Source organism: Homo sapiens, chromosome 5 (assembly GCF_000001405.40).
Source record: "Homo sapiens chromosome 5, GRCh38.p14 Primary Assembly".
In the NCBI taxonomy this organism is placed as follows: Eukaryota; Metazoa; Chordata; class Mammalia; order Primates; family Hominidae; genus Homo; species Homo sapiens.
In genome coordinates this window covers 2,141,200-2,162,303 of record NC_000005.10, presented here as the reverse complement: position 1 = coordinate 2,162,303, position 21,104 = coordinate 2,141,200, and the positions used below count along the sequence as shown (strand labels likewise).

At 49.8% G+C, this 21,104-nt stretch overlaps 7 annotated features.

The window, feature by feature from the left end:
- Window positions 4,179-4,679: an enhancer, noted in NCBI's record as "H3K27ac hESC enhancer chr5:2157739-2158239 (GRCh37/hg19 assembly coordinates)". NCBI's record gives its function as "activates a minimal SCP1, AML or CMV promoter by ChIP-STARR-seq in naive H9 embryonic stem cells {active_cell/tissue: H9 hESC(naive)}" and the evidence as "EXISTENCE:reporter gene assay evidence [ECO:0000049][PMID:30033119]".
- Window positions 8,778-8,947: an enhancer, noted in NCBI's record as "experimental_83887 CRE fragment used in MPRA reporter constructs". NCBI's record gives its function as "activates a minimal promoter by MPRAs in K562 erythroleukemia cells, with activity observed for the introgressed 5:2153556 or rs72643721 variant allele {active_cell/tissue: K562}" and the evidence as "EXISTENCE:reporter gene assay evidence [ECO:0000049][PMID:34662402]".
- Window position 8,862: a transcriptional cis regulatory region, noted in NCBI's record as "Neanderthal adaptively introgressed variant 5:2153556 (GRCh37/hg19 assembly coordinates) or rs72643721 in the experimental_83887 CRE". NCBI's record gives its function as "modulates activity of the experimental_83887 enhancer by MPRAs in K562 erythroleukemia cells {active_cell/tissue: K562}" and the evidence as "EXISTENCE:reporter gene assay evidence [ECO:0000049][PMID:34662402]".
- Window positions 15,030-15,529: an enhancer, noted in NCBI's record as "H3K27ac hESC enhancer chr5:2146889-2147388 (GRCh37/hg19 assembly coordinates)". NCBI's record gives its function as "activates a minimal SCP1, AML or CMV promoter by ChIP-STARR-seq in naive H9 embryonic stem cells {active_cell/tissue: H9 hESC(naive)}" and the evidence as "EXISTENCE:reporter gene assay evidence [ECO:0000049][PMID:30033119]".
- Window positions 16,224-16,723: an enhancer, noted in NCBI's record as "H3K27ac hESC enhancer chr5:2145695-2146194 (GRCh37/hg19 assembly coordinates)". NCBI's record gives its function as "activates a minimal SCP1, AML or CMV promoter by ChIP-STARR-seq in primed H9 embryonic stem cells {active_cell/tissue: H9 hESC(primed)}" and the evidence as "EXISTENCE:reporter gene assay evidence [ECO:0000049][PMID:30033119]".
- Window positions 16,724-17,225: an enhancer, noted in NCBI's record as "H3K27ac hESC enhancer chr5:2145193-2145694 (GRCh37/hg19 assembly coordinates)". NCBI's record gives its function as "activates a minimal SCP1, AML or CMV promoter by ChIP-STARR-seq in primed H9 embryonic stem cells {active_cell/tissue: H9 hESC(primed)}" and the evidence as "EXISTENCE:reporter gene assay evidence [ECO:0000049][PMID:30033119]".
- Window positions 17,870-18,403: an enhancer, noted in NCBI's record as "NANOG hESC enhancer chr5:2144015-2144548 (GRCh37/hg19 assembly coordinates)". NCBI's record gives its function as "activates a minimal SCP1, AML or CMV promoter by ChIP-STARR-seq in naive H9 embryonic stem cells {active_cell/tissue: H9 hESC(naive)}" and the evidence as "EXISTENCE:reporter gene assay evidence [ECO:0000049][PMID:30033119]".

The window sequence follows — 21,104 nt, the reverse complement described above, 5'->3', positions numbered from 1 at the left end:
TTTTCTTTGAGATACACTTTCTGAATATAACAAAACAAGCAGCCAGAAAACATGAAACTCTTTATTTTGAATTCATAATAATGAAAAAAAAAATGTTCAGAGAAAAACATTTTACAAAGTCAAATGACTAACTGAAAAATATATTAGCAACCTACCTTATTAAAGGATCTCTTACAGATTACTAAGAAAAGCAGAACTTACTTGAGAAAAACTGAAAACTCAGAGTAGTGAGAAGTAAAAATGTCTAATAAATATTTGAAATGACGTAAACTAATGCTACCAGGGTTTCTTATATCTCAAATTGGCAGGTTGTTTTGTTGTGCTCCTCCCCCACCCCAATTGACTCAGGTAATGGAACACAGACTCTGCTCACCTGTTGCCTAAGAAGTATTCTAGAGCAAAGTTTTGGAAGTCCACTTGACAATGTCTTTCAAAGATTACAAGGGGCATAGCCTGTGTCTTGACAATCACATTTTCAAGACTGTGTCCCATCAGCATACCTGCCTGGGTACAGGAATATAGGGATGATTTGTGATGGGAGAAAATGGAATCAGCCCTAATGGCCATCATTAGTGGTCCACGGAGTACCATGCAGCCATGAGAAATAGGTGAAGCTGTAGACAAATGTCACTCCAAGATTCATTAAGTGAAAAAACAAATTCAAAACAATATGTGTAATGTGGGGCCATTTCTACATTAAAAGGATAGATAAATGAATGGATGGATGGATGAATAGATGGATGGATGGACAGATGGGTGGATCAGTGGATGAATCAGAGGGTGGATGGGTGGGTGGGTGGGTGGGTGCATGGATGGATGAGTGGGTGGATGGACAGGTGAATGGACAGGTGGTTGGACAGGTGGATAGATGGATTGGATGGTGGATAGATACATGGATGGGCAGGTATATGATGGATTGGAGGGTGGATGGCTGAATGGATGGACAGGCGGGTGGGTGGGTGGGTGGAAAAATAGGTGGATGGATGGGTGGATGAGTGGATGGGTGGATGAGTGGATGGGTGGGTGGGTGGATGGATGGGTGGGTGGATGGATGAATGGATAGATGGATTGGAGGGTGGATGGGTGGGTGGGTGGATGAGTGGATGTGTGGGTAGATGGATGAATGAGTGGGTGGGTGGATGGATGAATGGGTGGGTGGATGGATGGGTGAGGGGTGGGTGGACTGCCAAATAGACAGATGAATGGATAAGTGAGTGGGTGAATGGGTGGATGGGTGAATGGATGGATAGGTGGGTGGGTAAATGGATAAATGAGTGGGTAAGTGGATGGATGAATGGGTGGGTGGATGGATGGGTGAGTGTGTGGGTGGACTGCCAAATGGACAGATGAATGGATAAGTGAGTGGGTGAATGGGTGGATGGGTGAATGGATGGATAGGTGGATGGATGAATGGGTCGGTGGGTGGGTGAATGGATGGACGGGTGGATGGGTGGGTAGGTGAAAGGATGAATAGGTGGGTGAGTTGGTGGGCAGGTGGATGGGTAGGTAAGTGGATGGATGAATGGGTGGGTGAGTGGATGGATGAATGGGTGGGTGAGTGGATGGATGAATAGGTGGGTGAGTGGATGGATGAATGGGTGGATGAGTGGGTGGGCAGATGGATGAATGGGTAGGTAGGTGGATGGATGAATGGTTGGGTGAGTGGATGGATGAATGGTTGGGTGAGTGGATGGATGAATGGGTGGGTTAGTGGATGAATGAATGGGTGGGTGAGTGGATGGATGAATGGTTGGGTGAGTGGATGGATGAATGGGTGGGTTAGTGGATGGATGAATGGGTGGGTTAGTGGATGGATGAATGGGTGGGTGAGTGGATGGATGAATGGGTAGGTGAGTGGATGGATGAATGGGTGGGTGGGTGGATGATGGATGAATGGTTGGGTGGGTGGGCTGACAGATGGACAGAAAAATGGATAGGTGGATGGATAAACAGACATACACATTGCATGCAAGTATACTTTTACATATACACAGTAAATATCTACACTCAGGAAACAACAAAGGTCCCTCTGGAGTGAGAGAACTAAAGAGATACGGTCAAGCCTGACTCCCAGTTTTGCTGTTTGCTGACAGCATTTAGGCCTCACCCCTCTTCTTGTTCTACCCCATATCTGTCAGGCTGATAAGAAAGCCAGGCTGCTCCTTTCTTGAGCACCATTGGGAGATGCAAACCAAGCAAGACCGTGCCCATATGTGTGAACCTTCACCCGAGTCCCTCAACCACGAGGAAAACCTCACACCACTCAGCTTTCATGGCCCTCTCGAGTAGTTTCTGGAACAGGTTGGGGTTCGCTCTGCTTTCCCCTCAAAGGCTCTTCATGTGGGTCATAAACCCCCCCATGCCCTCCTAGCTGTGTGGCGTGATCCGTCCAACCTCCAAGCGGGGTTCTGGGTATGTTCCATTCTGTTTCTGTAGGCAGCCACAACAGGACAGAAGGGAGTCGTTACTCTTCTTAGGACATCTTTTTGTACTGTTTCAATTTGTTTACAATAAATAGTCTTTATAGTCAAAATAAATAATAAAAAAGTCATTCAAAAAGAAGCAGTTCTGTCTCCAGCTTGCTCTCCGTGTTAACGTCAGAAGAGTTTCTTCACTGTAGGTGCCCTGCATCCGACAATACCATGGCAGGATGGGGTCCCCAGACACTTCTCACCATGAGCTTCCTTCCAGAAAATCTGCACCTTGAGTTCATTCAGGCTTTAGAGTTTCACCAAGCACGAGATGAATCTGATCAACTTTTCAGCTCCAGGCACTTGGTCATGTAACAAGTGTGGGAAATGATTTCTAAATGCAGCAAAAATTATTAAAGCTCAATTATTCATGGTGGCACTGATTATTTCTTCCATGCTCCCTCCTATCTGTCAAGCCTGGGTTCCACTTTCAGATGAAATACAACGCTCGGTCCTCAGACAGCCCCAGAGGTGACAATTAATAATTAAAGACCAGTTGATGATAATTACATGATAACTTTATTGACCAAGCTCAAACGGACGGAGTGATGGACTCAGAGCCTGTGGAGGAGAGGAAGCCCCCTACCCAGCACCAACCAGGGCTTCCAGAGGGAAGTTGCATTCCCAGCAGCACACGCCTGTCATGTGCAATCCCATTGAGGATTGATTGGGGTTTTATTCATCGAAAAGCTCACTTTAAGATCTGAGAGTCACCTTTCAAGGTTCTCGTGGAGTTCAGGGGTCGCCCACGCCCACTGCTCCAAGCTACAGCACCCTTGGAATAATTAGAAGGATGGCAACGTCAGCTGTCTAAGCCCTGCTGCTCACAGCCAAGAAAAACAAGGGCTGTGTACTAGAAAAGTTCACACAGAACCGGGTGGAGAGTAATCAGATAGACTCCCTCGGTGAAACACTCTGCGGGGGAGTAGTTTTTATCTGGAAAGTACCCTTCACGTTACCTTCACCATTTATTGCAAGAGTCATGGGATTCCTTTCTGGAGAAAGGCAGGATATTTGCAAGCATTTTGTTAATGTCAGAACCTTTGTGGGGCTGAGTTGCCATGAGATGCTGGAAGTAAAATGGAGGAAAACACAAAAGAAAAAGGTAAATTTGGGAGTGAGCTAGTTTTCAAGAACCTGATAGCAAACTCTTCCTATGGTCATTTTTTAAATTGGTTGTCACAGACTTATCAAGAAAAACGTCTTGCCACTCAGCAGCAATACTTAGGGAGCTGATTTTTTTAAAAAATCACAATTCAGATGATGCTGCTCCCCGTTGTTCTCCAGGTGCATCCAGATTGTGTTCCTGGTAGCTGCCCTGACCCACAGTGCCCAGGGCCACCTCTGTACTCTGCTGTGTGTCCACCATGCTCTGTCGAAGAGCATTTTGATGGCATGGAATATAAGAACTGTGGGGAGGCCTGGATGCTTCCACATGAGCTAGAGAACCTGGAGGAACAAAATGAGACCATGGCTTTACACATCCCGTTCCAGCTCCAGGTATGAAACTGAAATAAATGTCTGACTCATAACTCAAGAATCCAAACCCGAAGACTTGGCATGGGAACGTGTAGGCAGGATCCAATGGGGCTGTGATTCTCAGTCCCTCAAACTCTGCCCAAACCCCTCTGACAGTAGCTGGATCCCTTCTTCCCATCTGCAGGGTTCATCTCCCCTTGCTGCAATAACCCGGCATTAGAGCTCTCAAGAGAAACAGAACCAACAGAGAATGCATAGCTATATATAAGATGATCTCTTATGGAAATGTTATGGAGGCCGCGAAGCTCCCTGATATGCTGTCCAGGCTGAGGAACCAGGAATCGCCACTCGGTGGTGTAATTCAGGTTGAGTCTGAAGTCCCAAAACCAGAGAAGCTGACGGTGTAAACTCCCAGCCTGAGACCAAAGGCCCGAGCACCCCGGGAGGCTGTCAGCACAGGTCACAGAGTCCAAAGTCCCAGTAGCCAGGAGCTCCAGTGTCAAGGGCAGAGGGCGCTGGTCTCTTTTGTTCTTTTCAGGCCCTCAGCAGATTGGTTGATGCCACCCTCACTGCTGATGGCAGATCTTCTGTACTCAGTGCACTGGTTCAGATGCTGGTATCTTCCAAAAAGTCCCTTGCAGACACACCCAGAAACAATGCTTCACCAGCCCTCGGGCATGGCCTAGCCCAGTCAGGTTCACACCCCAAATTAACCACCCCTCCTCCGCCATGACCTCTCCTGCGATCCCGACTTGCAGGGGAGGCTGGTGCTCCTCCAGACCCATGCCCGGCTCCTCCCATCCTTCCTGCATCTGTAACCAGATGCACGCACGAACAGGCCCAGGGCACTCGCAGTTGATGGGAACAGGATTCGGAGCTGCAGGCAGGAGGGAGAGAGCACTAAGTGTGGCCCACAGCACACATTGCATGCACCAAGGGCTCACAGGGCTTCCCCAGCTTATACTGACAGAGACCTATATAAGATGCCTGGAAGGGGGCCTTGGGATTGTTCTACCTGGGTAGGAAGAATATCACACAAGAAAGGGCAGGTGAATGGATATAAGGGCTCCAAGCAGAATTCTGAACTCATGGTGCCATTCCTGTGTGTCTCTGGCAGTGTGCTTAGCTGGTTAACCATAACTTGTACCCAAAGGCCATCTACAGTGAATGTTTTACCAGAAACAAGTCCCAATCCAGACCCAAAGAGAAGGTTCTTGGACCTTGTGCAAGAAAGAATTCGGGGTAAATCCATAGAGTACAGTGAAAGCAAGTTTATTAAGGAAGTAAAGGAATAAAAGAATGGCTACTCCATAGGCAGAGCAGCAATGTGGGCTGCTCATCTGATTATACTTACAGTTGTTTCTTGATTATATGCTAAACGAGGGCTGGATTATTCATGAGTTTTCCAGAAAAGGGGTGGGCAGTTCCCAGAACTGAGGTTCCTCCCCTTTTTAGACCATATAGGGTAACTTCCTGACGTTGCCATGGCATTCGTCAACTGTGGTGGTGCTGGTGGGAGTGTCTTTTAGCAGCTGATGCATTCTAACTAGCGTATAATGAGCAGTGAGGATGACCAGAGATCACTGTCCCCGCCATCTTGGTTTTGATGGTCTTTAACCGGCTTCTTTACCACATGCTGTCTTATCAGCAAGGTCTTTGTGACCTGTATCTTGTGCCAACCTCCTAGCTCATCGTGTGACTAAGAGTGCCTAACTTCCTGGGAATGCGGCCCTGCAGGCTTCAGCGTCATTTTACCCAGCCCCTATTCAAGATGGAGTCACTCTGGCTCAAACACCTGTGACAAATGTTGAGATTCAAGACCTCCCCTGTGTACCATGGAGGAAGCTAGCCAGGGGCTGGGTGAGATGGGAATGTGGAATAAATATGTTATGCGAGCCAGGCTCACTACCCCAGGGAGGACACCTGGTTCAGCACGTCCTTGAGAATGCTCCCGCGGGAGAGGCACAGCCACGCTCCAGTGAGGAGGCTCTGCAGGCCGAAAGCATGGCAGGAAGGGTTCTTACATAGCAAAAGAGTGAATACACGTATCTCCTTACGTGGCAAGAGATGGAAATAAGCTCCAGAACGGAGCTTATTCTGGTTTCCCCAGATGAACCCCAAGCACAATTATGTGTCTCCATAAAGGGGAAAGGTAGAGGAAGTTTGGGTCAGTTCCACCCAGAGGAGGAGGCCACGTGAAGGTGAGGTAGAGATCAGAGCGATGCGGCCACAGCTGAGGGACCCCCGGAGTCACAGAAGCCATCCGGGGCAGGGACGATCCTGCCCTGGAGCCGCTGGAGGGAGTGCGCCCCTGCGACACCCTGATTTTGAACTTCTGACTCCCAGAACTGTGAGACAAAAAATGTCTGTTGTTTTAAGCCACCCGGTTTGTGTTACACCTGTTACATGGTTCCCCAGGAAACTCATGTTCCCCAGCGCGGGGAGGGCTGCGTTCATTTGGGTTCTTTCCTGCGTTCTCTATGCTTCACAGAGTTCCAGAAAAAGCCAAGTCCAGAACATACTATCCGTGTTCGAGTATGCAGATGACTAAGTGAATCATACCTATGCAGGGCAAACACGTAGCCCCACCTCTAGCGTGCGCCTGACGAAAGCAGGGGAGTGTGGACTCCGCAGGCCCTGCGTTCAGTGGTGGATCGCGGCAACTCCGGGGAGGACTGCGGAGGATTCCGTCTACCTGTCACGGTTCACTTCCACAAATAAGTGGAAAAGTTAGATGCAAATGTTTCAATGTGCTCATTTAAGGTGGAAGGTTCATTTCTGTTTATTACCTTATCTCATAATTTTGCTGTGGTTTTTTTTCAAATTGCAAAGTAAGAATAAACAATAATTCTTAAAATTTGCATTGCTTCCAAACTGATTCATTTCCCTACAGCACACAAAAAGCGCCCCATACAGATGTTTTAAAACTACAGCCTGTAAAACCCCAGCCTTATGATTTTGAGGACAGGAGCATTAAAAAACAAACTATCCGGCATCTTTCAATTGACATCTATCTGTTTAATGGTTTAAACTCTATTGCTTTGGTAATGTTCTCCTAATGCCCCATTCATTTTGTCATTCCATCTCTGAAAAAATCTAATCTTGATCTCCGGCTCTCCATTTTTCTTACCTCTTTAATAATAATCCCGGCAACAGCATATCAGTATGGAAATTGCTTCTGAAGAACGTTGTAATAAATATATGGCAGGCATATTACATAGGATTTGCTTACTTTTGATTTAAAAAGCCAACATTTAATCTAAGAAGTTAGAACTCAGAGTATACATCTTGCACTTCCAAAGCTCGTAAGTAAATGCAGATCAGGCTCTCTCCCTCCTCACCCATTCAAAATTCATTGCTTGCCATTTGCCTCTTAAACAGTGGGTGCAGGTCACGATTGCATACTCCAGTGCTGGGCAAATATTGACTCTAACCGCAGGAACCACCTGGCTCTGGGCAAATGGCTTCGGCTACGGAGTAATTGGGGTCTTGACGCGGGAGCAGGGTCTGAGGGCATCATCAACCCCCTGTGTGAGGAGGTCCAGAGATGAGGGATTAAACTTGTTTGGATGTTTCTGCATGAAGAGTTGCTTTGAGATGTGTAGAGTTAAATAATTTGGACATTGATTATATTATGGATATTTTAATACAAAGGAATTGATGTGCAACTAATGTTGAAATGTTATTTTAGTATCTTCTCCAGAAAGGCCAGAAGAGGCCTGACCAACAAGAAAGAACAGAATCACACATTCATTTCTATTAACACCTGCTTTCTGGATAGAAGAGCAAGGGCCTTTTCTTATTGTTGAATATAGAGTATGAAATTTAAAAATTTTAGAAAAAAAGAATATTTGAAATTATCAATTCTAATGCTCTCAATTCATACAAGGAAATTGAGGCCAAAAGAGATGAAATACCTCTGGAAGGCCTGAGCCATCTGCATCCTGAGTTCTCTGGCCCTGAAATGGGTTCAAAGTAATCACGACCGTATTATTTGACTTGAATTCCAGCCAACACCTTGGTGCCATGACCGTCATTTCTATTCTGATTGTCACAACAGCCTCTTAACTCTCCTACCTACTGCCGGGGTCCCTCCACTCACGTGGTGACCACAATGATCTTCACCAGATCAAAGTAAAAACAGATCCTGCTTGTGCTTAAAGCCTGTCCACACCCCAAGTCACCCTGTGAATAAAGTCCCAAATGGGTAATACAGACTAGAAAGGCCGCAGTCAAGCTCCTGTTGCCCCATCCAGCCTGTCTCTCCCACCTCCCCACATACAGCTCTGGGTGAGTTCCCGGCCCACCGGCCTCCTGCACGTGGTCGGAATGTGCCCTCGGCCCTCCTCGCTGTGGTGTGTGCTGTTCCTGTTGTTGGACTACTATTCTCCTCACTGTGATGTGTGCCGTTCCAGTCGCTGGATCACTATTCTCCTCGCTGTGATGTGTGCCGCTCCCATCGCTGGCCCACTATTCTCCTAGCTCTGATGTGTGCCGTTCCCATCGCTGGCCCACTATTCTCCTAGCTCTGATGTGTGCCATTCCCATCGCTGGATCACTGTTTTCCACCTTGCACCCTTTTCTCTTGACTGAGACAACTTTATTCAGGTCTTGGATCCGACTGCCTTTGGTTAGAAGTTCTTTCTGAAGCCCCAAGATGGGACTGGTCTTTGCATCTGTCCAGCATCCTCTCTGCCAGCAGACGGCTTTCCCTCCTCATGCCCCCATGGTTCCTGGCAGGGCTGCGCATACCCCCTGGCTGCAGTGCTGGCAGTGGCCTGGATGCATCTTGAAGGCCTGCCACAGTCGAGGTTCCAGGTGGACCTAGAAGGCCCGCCAGCCCTACTGATTTCCCCGGGATCTGATATGCAGGTTTAGGAGAGGTGAGTTCACTTTCCTCTGGTGTACCTGGAGGCATGGCCCACCTGCTGTGTCTGTGGCTGTGCCCACCAGGGTGGTGCCCAGTCCTCCCTCACTGCTCACAAGCAGCATCCTGAGTGGGAAAGAAAGTGCCAACTGGGAGACAGAGGCCGAGCCACAAGACAGACAAAAATGGCCCTAATGTCAGAGTCTGGGTGCCCAAGCCCACCATCCTGGGCTCCCCAGGCCACCAGCCATTCTCTTTGTTTGTTCAAACCAGTTCATGTTGAGTTCTGCCCCTTTTAACCATGAATGTGATGATGCCATCACCTTCCTCATGGCCTCCTGCCTTTTTTTTTTTTTTTTTTTTTTTTTTGGTGGATGGGGCAGTGGGGGAGGAACCCTCTGATTGTTTCTGCATTGACTGGTTCCCCACAGGAATGCCAGGTCCCAGGTCCCTGCGATGGTTCACATTCACTCTATGCAGTGTCTGTAGGGGTTCGTAAAATGGGAAGTCAGGAGGTAGTTGTTGAAAAAGGGAAGAAAGATGTAAGGAGAAAGGGAAGGAGAGACAGAAGAAGAGAGGGAGGGAAGGAGAAGAGGTAAGAAGAGAGGAAGGGAGAGAAGGAAGAAGAAAGGGATGGAGGGAGAAAAGAAGGGAGGGAGGGGTGAAGGGAGAGAGAAAAAAGAGGGAGAGATGGAGGGAGAGACGAAAGGAAGAAGAAAAGGAAGGTTCTAATATTTTACTATATATTGCTGGAGGAAAGAACTATAGGCTAATATCAAGGAGAACTCAGGTTCAGCCTGGCTTAGCCACAAATCCACTGAGTATGACCAAATCTCCACTCCCATTGACTCTTCAGTCTTCCATCTGTGCAGTGAGAGTGCAAATGGTCCATCTTCCATCTGTGCAGTGAGAGTGTAAATGGTCCATCTTCCATCTGTGCAGTGAGAGTGCAAATGGTCCATCTTCCATCTGTGCAGTGAGAGTGTAAATGGTCCATCTTCCATCTGTGCAGTGAGAATGTAAATGGTCCATCTTCCATCTGTGCAGTGAGAGTGTAAATGGTCCATCTTCCATCTGTGCAATGAGAGTGTAAATGGTCCATCTTCCATCTGTGCAATGAGAGTGTAAATGGTCCATCTTCCATCTGTGCAATGAGAGTGTAAATGGTCCAAGACCCTCCCCAGCCTCGACACCACTCTGTGAGATGGGGACGAGATCTTCAGGTGAGTCTGCTGCCACTGAAGGAGTCCACGGAGACTGGGAGGCACCCAGTGTGGACTCCATAGCCTGGAGTCAGGCATGATAAGGGGTTGGACTGAACAATCTCAAAGCTTCTTTCTGAAACATTTGTAAATCTCTAGCTTATAAGGGAAGGGTAAAAATAAGATTGTGAGGACCAATATCTGCCCAGGCTCAAAGCCCCAGCACAGCACCTGTTGAATTATTATTATTATTACTTTATTTTAAGTTCTGGGATACATTTGCAGGTTTGTTACACCGGTAAACGTGTGCCATGGTGGTTTGCTGCACCTGTCAATCCATCACCTAGGTATGAACCCTGGCATGCATTAGCTATTTATACTGATGCTCTCCCTTTCCCCAGCTCCCCAACAGGGCCCTGTGTGTGTTGTTACCCTCCCTGTGTGCATGTGTTCTCATTGTTCAGTTCCCATTTGTGAGTGAGAACATGTGGTGTTTGGTTTTCTGTTCCCGTGTTAGTTTGCTGAGGATGATGGCTTCCAGCTCCATCCATGTCCCTGCAAAGGACATGATCTCACTCCTTTTTATGGCTGTATAGTATTTCATGGTGTATATGTACCACAGTTTCTTTATCCAGTCTATCATTGATGGACATTTGGGTTGATTCCATGTCTTTGCTATTGTGAATAGTGCTGTAATAAACATATGTGGCACCGGGTAAATTGTTGAGTGACCCTGAGGTTCTGGAACCCAGGAAACAAGTGGCTGTAGTTGGGTGATGTTACCACTAGATGTCGCTAGTCCCCCTCGGGCAGCAGAACCCTGGGTTTCTGCTCTTCCGGTACCTGGTAGGGGTCTGGGCCCAGAACCGGGGGCCAGGGCAGGCGTCTTCAGTTGGAGTCTCCCTTCCTGGCCAGGTGAGGCAACAGACAAGGAAATCAAAACGCAGAAGGTTAGTATGGCACTGGCTTTAAAATTGGATCTTGAAAGCAATAAAATAGACATACAAGGTAGATATTTCCTGTGGACTGAAGTTCCAGGGAGCAGTTACCAGAACAATCAGGATTTGTGGGCACAAGGGGCCTGGGTGGCAGTGGGCTTCCCAAAGCCCCTTTCTTCAAGCATTGACCGGCAGGCCCCCGAGTCCAGCGGGAGTTTCTGGCTTGGGCCTTCAGGTGCCCAACAAGGCGCCATGCGGGGCACTTCCCATGGCCTGCATGGGTTACGCAGGCATCTCCAGTGCTCAGATCCCCCTCCCACTGCCCTGACCCTGACCCTGCCCAGGAGGCAGCCTGGGCTGCTGCATGAAGACCCTCAGCTGTGCACAAACCACAGGACGGCTGATTTAAAACTCAGGGAACAGACAGAGCAGAGTCGCATCCGAGCCAGCAAGACCCTTGATCTGGTTTGGCTGTGTCCCCACCCAAATCTCATCTGGAGTTGTAGCTCCCACAATTCCCATGCGTTGTGGGAGGGACCTAGTGGGAGATAATTGAATCATGGGGGTGTTGTTCCCCATACTGTTATGCCAGTGAATAAGTCTCACGAGATCTGATGGTTTTATCAGGGGAAACCTCTTTCGCTTGGCTCTCATTCTCTCTCTTGCCCCCGCTACATAAGAAGCGACTTTCACCTTCTGCCATGATTGTGAGGCCTCCCCAGTCATGTAGAACTGTGAGTTCATTAAACCTCTTTTTCCTTATAAATTACCCAGTCTCAGGTATGTATGTATCAGCAGCGTGAACAGAGTAATACACCTCTTCCGTAGAGAGATGAGTCTTTTCAATTAGAAAATGTTCAACTCCTAAACAGCCCATTCAATGCATGTTTCAAAGATGGTTGCCTGTCATTTAATCTTTGCAAATAGTGGAGAAGGGGGCACAGATGGGCCATCGGACACCGTGTCCGTGTTTCTTTGGCGTCTCCTGAGATCCTGATACACTCCATGCATCTGATGCTCTGCAAGGTTCTCCTGCAAATGCACATCTCCCCCACAGGGGTAGTGGTGAGGGCTTCAATGACAAAGGCAATGATGAGGACCCACACAGCCCTCCAGGTGACAGAGGACTCTCCTGTACGTGAGCTCCTCTGATTCTCCCATCAGCCTCGCGAGGTGGGCTGTGTTACCGTTGCAGAAACATCACCTGTCATATGGACCCTGACTCTGCCATGGGCTATTTCCCGAGTGGCCAGGGAGTCTGGTACCCCCAAGGCCAGGGAAAGGCTGGCTCCTGGGAGGTAGTCCCCAAGTCCCTAATAAAGAAACCCTCATTTTACATGAGGAAGGAGAGAGAACCTGTCCCTGACATTGTCGAACATCAGTAAAAACCAATGCTGACCCTAAAAGCAGCAAAGAATGAAAATTAAGAAAAACAAAAACAAGAAGCCACAATGAACTGGCTTCTCTGTGGTGCATTCTCCAGAGGACACTGGGTGCTTGCAGGTCAAGGAGGTCCATGGTGTGTGAGGAGAGGAATTTCACGCAGTTCTGGCCACAGCCTCTGCCCTCAAGCTCCCAGCACAAACCCAGAGGCTCTGGACTCACTGGGAGTCCAAGGAGGCAGGTGTCTCCCAGGCAGGGCAGAGGTCAGCAGGAGCCCTGAGCCTCACATGCATAGCTGGGACCCAGAAACGCCGTGTCCACCTGCCCATCCGCGGACCTGTCTCCCGCTGGCTACAGTTGGAGACTCCAGGTGGTCTAGTAACCAAAAAAGACTTCAACACCAAGCCTGTCTCTTGAGAGGGGGCGCACGCCTGCCTCCAGCTTCATTACCCGGCAAGGATGCAAGGAGTCTCTCCCAGGCCAATTATTCCCACCCAAACTTCAAACACCGATCCACAAAAATTAATTCAATGGGAACTAGCTTGAAACCCGATCACGCTGCTGCTGCTCTGAAGTCAATAACACTTAACCCCGGGCTTCCAGCTGCTCACTCGGTGGCTGGGTAGTGCCCGAGTGACTCATCCTGAAAGAAGCCAATGAGTCAGCCACGCAGAGGCCACCCGGCAAACGGAGGCACAGCTTCACTGCAGCAGAGCGGCCCGATGAGGGGCTGTGTCACATCCATCTCCCACCTGTATCGGGAGGAGGGACAATGACCACCTCACAATGCCACAGCAGCAGTGGAGTCTTTCTTCCTGAGAGCGTCACAAAAAAATCAGACTTTAAAAAATGCTTAAAGATGATGTCTGTTCAGTCTTGAAACAGCAAGTAACACAGTTGTAGGTATAATTGCCAAACAGATTATTGTCCGATCTGATGTCTCTGCAGGGTGCAGGGGGGCAGAAGTGCAGCTGCTGAGGGCCAGGCCCAGACCAGGAAGGCCAGAAGGATGTGCTGAAGATGCTCCTGGTGTCACATTTGCACACTAGATGGTCTCTGGCCACTCGTGGACCACAGATGGGGCAGGGGCAGGGAGTGCTGGTCAACTGGCCCTCTAGAGAAACCCCATCTGTGGCCTTCGTACATGTCCACATCCCACGACCTGGAGCACATGTCCTTGTGCTGCCACCAAGGAGAGGGAGAGGACACACTTCCCTGGAGGGTTCGGGTCATGAGACTTGGGGCAACTGTTGTGTGTACCCCCATCCTCTGTGTACCCCCTGTTAGTCATCTGCTGTGAATCCTGCTTGGGGCAAGACAAAGGAAAAGCCTGGGTATAGGCTTGGAGCAAACTGGGGTGAAAGGTGGGCCAGGTGTCCACAGAGCCCAGCTGCTGTGGGAAAACCTGAACAAGCAGGGTCCAATAAGGGAGGGCGGCTTTCCCTCGCCCAAAACCTGGCGCAGGTAGGCCAGGGCGGGGGCCAGCAGGGCAGGTCAAAACCCCCAAGCCCTTCTGCCAGGGTGGCGACACCCTCAGCACACAATCGCATCTGTGTTCTCCCTCCTGTCACCAGCAGAAGGGACACAGTGAGGACACTCAGGCTGAAACCACGGCCCGTCTGCCAGAACCTGGCCACAGTCTCTCACCTGCAGCTGGAAAGCTGGGGCTGGTGGCTCGAGCTTGGGAACACGGCCCAGTCCCTCTTGGTGAGAATGGGTATTGGGAGACAGCAACAGCCTCTGCTGCCGGTCAAGGACCAGTTGGGGGCGCCTCCAAGGCCCTACCCTGAGGTTGTGACGTGGAAGGGGGCACCAACATGCTGAGGGTGAACTCATGGTGTGAGCAGTGTGGCAGACCTGGGATGTTTGCAAATACGCAGGTTGTCTGACCTCAGGATAACTGGGAATGGCCAGGGTTGGGGATGCCAAACTGCCCTTCACAATGGGATTAGCCCACTAAACCCTGCGGCACCCCTGCACAGAAGTGCAGTGGAATGCCCTGGATATCCTGGGCACCCAGCAGGAAGTGGCACAGAGCAGAGGGTGACAGCAGGAGGAAGAGGAGGGGGTGATGGGCTCTTCAGGGGAGGCCAGGCTTTTCAGCCAAGCAACTGGGACTGCCCCAGGTGTGGGCTGTTCCTGCAAACCTGAGGGTCGTGTAAATCCTGGGGAGGAAATGAATGGGAGAATTAAAGTCTCCTGTAGTTCAGGAGGTGGGGCTCAGAGCCACAGCAATGAGGCCAGGCGCGGTGGCTCAAACCTGTAATCCCAGCACTTTGGTAGGCCAAGGCGGGCCGAGGTCAGGAGTTCGAGACCAGCTAGGCCAACATGGTGAAACCCTGTCTCTACTAAAAATACAAAAATTAGTCTGTAATCCCAGCTACTTGGGAGGCTAAGACAGGAAAATCACTGGAACCTGGGAGGCAGAGGTAGCAGGGAGCCTAGATTGCACTCCATTCTGGGTGACAGAGCAAGAGTCCATCTCAAAAAAAAAAAAAAAAGTCATTGAGAAGATTCTAGGAGCTGAGCCTTGGTGGCACTGGGGCTGAGAAACAGGTGCAGTGGTGATGTGGGGACCCAGGTGAGAGTTGAGAAGGTGGCGTTTGGAGGGATGGTTCAGCGGGAGTGGGCTGAGCCTCATCAGGGAAGAGACATAGAAGGATGTGGTTCTGCGGACATGGCGTGTGGAATAGGAGACACAGTCAAGGCCAACTCCAGCTGACTTGGGGCACGCACATGCTCTGCAGGGGTAGTTCCTCTCATCCTCTCACCAAGAAAACTCAGCACCAGAAAGAGAAGAGGTTTGTGGAAAAGACAACAAGTTTACTCTGGGATGTGTTAATGCAATGGGCTGCATGTGTTCACCCCTCCCCAAATCCATGTGTTGAAATCCGAATCCCCAACATGATGGTGAGGAGGTGGAGGCTCTGGGAAGTGATTAGGTCATGATGGTGAGGAGGTGGAGGATCTGGAAGTGATCAGGTCCTGATGGTGAGGAGGTGGAGGATCTGGAAGTGATTAGGTGGTGATGGTGAGGAGGTGGAGGATCTGGAAGTGATTAGGTCGTGATGGTGAGGAGGTGGAGGATCTGGGAAGTGATTAGGTCGTGATGGTGAGGAGGTGGAGGATCTGGAAGTGATTAGGTCGTGATGGCGAGGAGGTGGAGGATCTGGGAAGTGATTAGGTCGTGATGGTGAGGAGGTGGAGGATCTGGGAAGTGATTAGGTCGTGATGGTGAGGAGGTGGAGGCTCTGGGAAGTGATTAGGTAGTGATGGTGAGGAGATGGAGGATCTGGAAGTGATTAGCTCATGATGGTGAGGAAGTAGAGGATCTGGAAGTGATTAGGTCGTGATGGTGAGGAGGTGGAGGATCTGGAAGTGATTAGGTCGTGATGGTGAGGAGGTGGAGGCTCTGGGAAGTGATTAGGTCGTGACGGTGAGGAGGTGGAGGATCTGGAAGTGATTAGGTCGTGATGGTGAGGAGGTGGAGGCTCTGGGAAGTGATTAGGTCGTGATGGTGAGGAGGTGGAGGATCTGGAAGTGATTAGGTGGTGATGGTGAGGAGGTGGAGGATCTGGAAGTGATTAGGTCGTGATGGTGAGGAGGTTGAGGATCTGGAAGTGATTAGGTCGTGATGGTGAGGAGGTGGAGGATCTGGAAGTGATTAGGTCGTGATGGTGAGGAGGTGGAGGATCTGGAAGTGATTAGGTCGTGATGGTGAGGAGGTGGAGGATCTGGAAGTGATTAGGTCGTGATGGTGAGGAGGTGGAGGATCTGGAAGTGATTATGTCGTGATGGTGAGGAGGTGGAGGATCTGGAAGTGATTATGTCGTGATGGTGACGAGGTGGAGGATCTGGAAGTGATTAGGTCGTGATGGTCAGGAGGTGGAGGATCTGGGAAGTGATTAGGTCGTGATCGTGAGTAGGTGGAGGATCCGGGAAGTGCTTAGGTCGTGATGGTGAGGAGGTGGAGGACCTGGGAAGTGATTAGGTCGTGATGGTGAGGAGGTGGAGGATCTGGGAAGTGATTAGGTCGTGATGGTGAGGAGGTGGAGGATCTGGAAGTGATTAGGTCGTGATGGTGAGGAGGTGGAGGATCTGGAAGTGATTAGGTCGTGATGGTGAGGAGGTGGAGGATCTGGAAGTGATTAGGTCGTGATGGTGAGTAGGTGGAGGATCCGGGAAGTGATTAGGTCGTGACGGTGAGGAGGTGGAGGATCCGGGAAGTGATTAGGTCGTGATGGTGAGGAGGTGGAGGATCCGGGAAGTGATTAGGTCGTGATGGTGAGGAGGTGGAGGATCTGGAAGTGATTAGGTCGTGATGGTGAGGAGGTGGAGGATCTGGAAGTGATTAGGTCGTGATGGTGAGGAGGTGGAGGATCTGGAAGTGATTAGGTCGTGATGGTGAGGAGGTGGAGGATCTGGAAATGATTAGGTCATGATGGTGAGGAGGTGGAGGCTCTGGACGTGATTAGGTCGTGATGGTGAGGAGGTGGAGGATCTGGAAGTGATTAGGTCGTGATGGTGAGGAGGTGGAGGATCTGGAATTGATTAGGTCGTTTTGGTGACAAGGTGGAGGATCTGGAAGTGATTAGGTCGTGATGGTGAGGAGGTGGAGGATCTGGAAGTGATTAGGTCGTGACGGTGAGGAGGTGGAGGATCTGGAAGTGATTAGGTCGTCAGGGTGCAGCCCTCCTGAATGGGATTAGTGCCCTTAAACCAGAGGCCCCAGAGGCATCCCTGGCTCCTTCCACTATGAACCAGAAAGTGGGACCTCACCAGACTGCAAGTCTGCTGGATGATTTCATCTTGGGCTTCTCATCCTCCAGAGCTGTGGGCAATAAATTTCCATTATTTATCAGCTACTTGGCCTACATATTCTGTTATAGCCACCAGATGGACTAACAGTTGAGTTTATAAATCTATAAACATCTTCTTCTAGAGGCTGAAGTCCAGGTTGGGGCATCAACCTATGAGACAGCTTGCAACTGCTGTGGCTGGACAACCTGTGGTGCCAGAGCTTCTCAGCCCGGCATTCTCAAACCACGTGGTGGTGCAGGGCTGAGGAAGCCACGGGCATACTCCAGCCTCATGTAGGGAGCCTCCTACCATAGGTGGTTTTGCAAAGGGATTTTCTCCAGCCTCACAGAGGGAGCCTTCTCCGAGAGGTGGTTTTGCGGAGGGACTCTGGGTTTGCCTCCTTTTGCTGGGCTTGCACTTCTCTTTGTCCTCCCGGGTCTGTTACTCCATCTCCTTCCAGGGTTGGGCTTTTTCTGAACACCTGGCTGTGCACATGCATGCTAGGACTCCATAACCTGCTCCACTCAAAAAGGAGAAGAGATTCAGAGCCTGTGGGTGGAACAGGGCTGCTGACCAGGTGAGGTGTCCTGGCGTGGGATGGAGGAGAACCCCAGCCGGGCAGCATGGAGAGATTTGGAGAAATCCAACACGTGTGGGCGTGAGGTTAAAACCCTCCTCTGTGCCACACAACAGCCGAGTCATGATTGCTCATACATGATCCTGGGCAGGTGCACTCTCGCTGGAATGTGTCTGTTGAGGGAGAGGGAGGTGGGGTGCATTGGTGGGATCAGCACCTGTGGCCTCAGAAGACTGTCACCTGGTTCTCTGTCACCCAGTGGCTTCCCAAGGAAATGAGCTGCTCATGTTGAATCCTAGAATAGCCACTTGCACGTAGGTTATATCTCTATAAACAAACAGCAAACAGGGCTCTGCTGGCTGCTTTTCTTATAGCACCATCTATGGCCTGCAGGCTTCAAGGACAGCCATTGTCTCTCAGGCAGCCCTCCTGTGGGTCACCTGATGGTCGGAAGGAGGGGTGAGCCCCGGATTCAGTAGCCGTCAGTGTGAGATCACAGGTGCCACTCAAGGATCTTCCCAGGTCGATTACTCCATCTCCTTCCAGGGTCAGAGTGGTGGGGAGAGGCCTTTCCACCAGAATATCTGTTGTGGCAGTGCTTCATGGCTTCCACATTGTGAAATGCCACCCATTCTGACCCTTCAAAGAAGTCACTTTGCTACAAACGAAGAGCAGGTGGTTTAAGCAGATTGAGTGATGCATGGGCGGGTGCCGAGGTCTCGGAGCAAGGCTTCCGTGCTCTGGGTGGAGCTCGCCAGCTCTGAACATGGGTCTGTGGGGGTCAAGCACTCAGATCTGAGGGGCCGGGCAAGGTGCAGGGCTGAGGAGACACAAGAGTGTTCATCACTGACAGAAAAAAAAAAAAAAGATAAAGAATTGAATCTAAAAATGTAGAGGTGGCTAAAAAAATTATGGAATATTCAGGCACTTAGGTGTTATATAATTACTTTAAAACAGTATTTTAAATTATAAATGTATAATTTATAATTATAAAACAATAAAATGGCACTCATAAAGTTCAATGAAATAAATGACAGAAATGTTTAAATTGGGCATGTTCTAACTTCTATAATGCTTATATGTTTACATTTTTTACATGGAAAAATAGAAGAAATATTTGTATTTACACCTGCAGATATTAGTGTGCTCTTATTTTTATCATTATGCTTTTCCCTAATATTTAAATATTCAACAAATGTTATTTTTAAAACAAAAAATAACTTAGAAAAAAGAAAGGGGAGGAGCGGGCGTGGGTGTGAGGCTGTGGTTCCCATCGGCCACTGCACGGTGCCCGGCCGGTCGTTGAAGTATGATTCTGCCCTGGTTCAGCTCAGCCTCACAACACTCCCAGGAACCTCAGTGCATGGCGACAGAGCAAACCTCAGTGCATGTAGGGGCCTGGCATGGGGGAAACGCTCCGCACGTGGACACCAGAACATTCTATGAGGATGGTTTGTGGATTCTCCACTTAGGGAGGAGACTCAGATGTGGAGGAATGAGGGTCTGGGGCTGCCTGTAGGTCCCCAGGGGCTCCAGTCCAGAGCTGAGGCTCCCTCTGTAGCTCACCCTTGTTTTGAGTGACGCCCACAAGGTAGGTGCACCGAGCTGGGGCAGGAAAGAGCTGAATCCCATGTTTGCTGCATTATTGTCTGAACATTTTGGCAGGAGAAAAATCGTTAGCACCCCTTTCTGAAAGCTGTGATTTTAGCATGGAGCTCCATCCCCGGAAGCTGGAGCTCCCCAAGCCCACTCCTGTCTGCATCCAGGCTGCAGCTGACGGAATTGCAGAAAACACACAGGGAAGAAGGTGATTGCCGGGGGTGCCGGGACATCAGAACCCAGCCACACTCGGAGCCTCGCAGATTCCAGAGTGGCTTCAAAACCTGAGGCGGGAAAGGCGTGGGAAAGCACTGATGTGGTGGTCCTCCCCTGCCATGCAGCTCTCACCACGGCCTCTCTGTTAGGCAGCCTGGTGTCCCCATGCCAGCGACATCGGCAAGATGGGAATGTCCAGAGGAAATGTCACCTTCCGTCCTCAAATAGCAAACAAACAAAAAAAGCTGCTCAACACTCTTAGTTGTGCTTCCTCAGCTCAGAAACAAAGAAGGACTTTTTAAATAAGCATGCACACCCACACACACCCTCACACACCCGCTTTCGCTAGGTGTCTGTTTTAACACGTGCATGTGCTTTCACTTTGTAGTAGATTAAAGTGGCAATTTCTTCTTTCTTCAAAAATAAAAGCTAACACTGTTAAACGCCTCTAGCACCACATTAGAGCTATACAATAAGAATGGTTTTGCCTAGAATAATAGCTTACAAAAGAAATGTAAAATTAAGATCCAAACACAGCAGTAATGTAATGTAAATAAAAATTACAACATCGGCGTAAAATGTTCTCCATTGCACGGCTGATTTGAGGTCCTGAGCCTTCCAGATCAGTGTTCCAAACCGACCTGGATGAGGGGGACTCCACACTCCACAGGCCTGGGTGCTCCTGCCCAACCTGTGCTTCATCCACTGATTTCATCCCCTGTAAGCATCCTACCCCTACAGCCACCCGTGCCTCATTCCCAGCCCCGGTTTCAGATGCTAACTCATTAAAGTGGGAACAGAACACTGAGCATCCTGCCTCCATCTGCTCATCCGCACAAGGAGCCCGGACATGAAGAGGATGTGCAAACGGCCCACGCCCACGCTGTGGGACCTAACGCCCAGAATGCCAGCTCCCAGGCCGTAGCGTGTGACCCTGTGCCCCCGACTGGATGTGCCCACCACCCAGGTGCCCCCTCCTGGGGTTATGGGGACAACAAGGCCTCCGCCTCTGAGGCAGATGGGAGCTGGGGCCGTCCAGCCTGGGGTGGTTCCATACATGACCACACAAATGCTTTTCTGTGTATTGCCTTCCCAAAAGGTGGAGATCCCACGCCACAGCCGGGCTCAGCACCCTGCATGCTTCAGAAAACGGCCCTGCCCCTATTCCTACTGGCCCGCTCCTGCCATTTCCCTAATGTAAATTTTAGCCAACTGTGACTTAGTGGTGCACTTCCAAATTACTACAGTGCCCACGAGGATGTACCGAATAACACAGTGGACGAAGGGGCTGCGGAGCAAGAGAAAAGCGTCAGCCCCAAATTCAGATACGGGCGCCCTGGACTGCGGGACCTTAATACACAGAAGAGCTCACGTCTAGCATTCCCGGTTGTTAAATAAGATTCTTTGTGACTTGCAAAAAAAGGAAAACACAGTGAAGAATTATCAGGGCCTCCTCCGCAGAAGTAATCTACATGTGTTTATTTAATAAACAGAAGATGGCTTTATTATACACATTTGATTTCCATATGCAATCGTTTCCTTATCTGTCACTTGTATCTAAGCAGGGTGCTT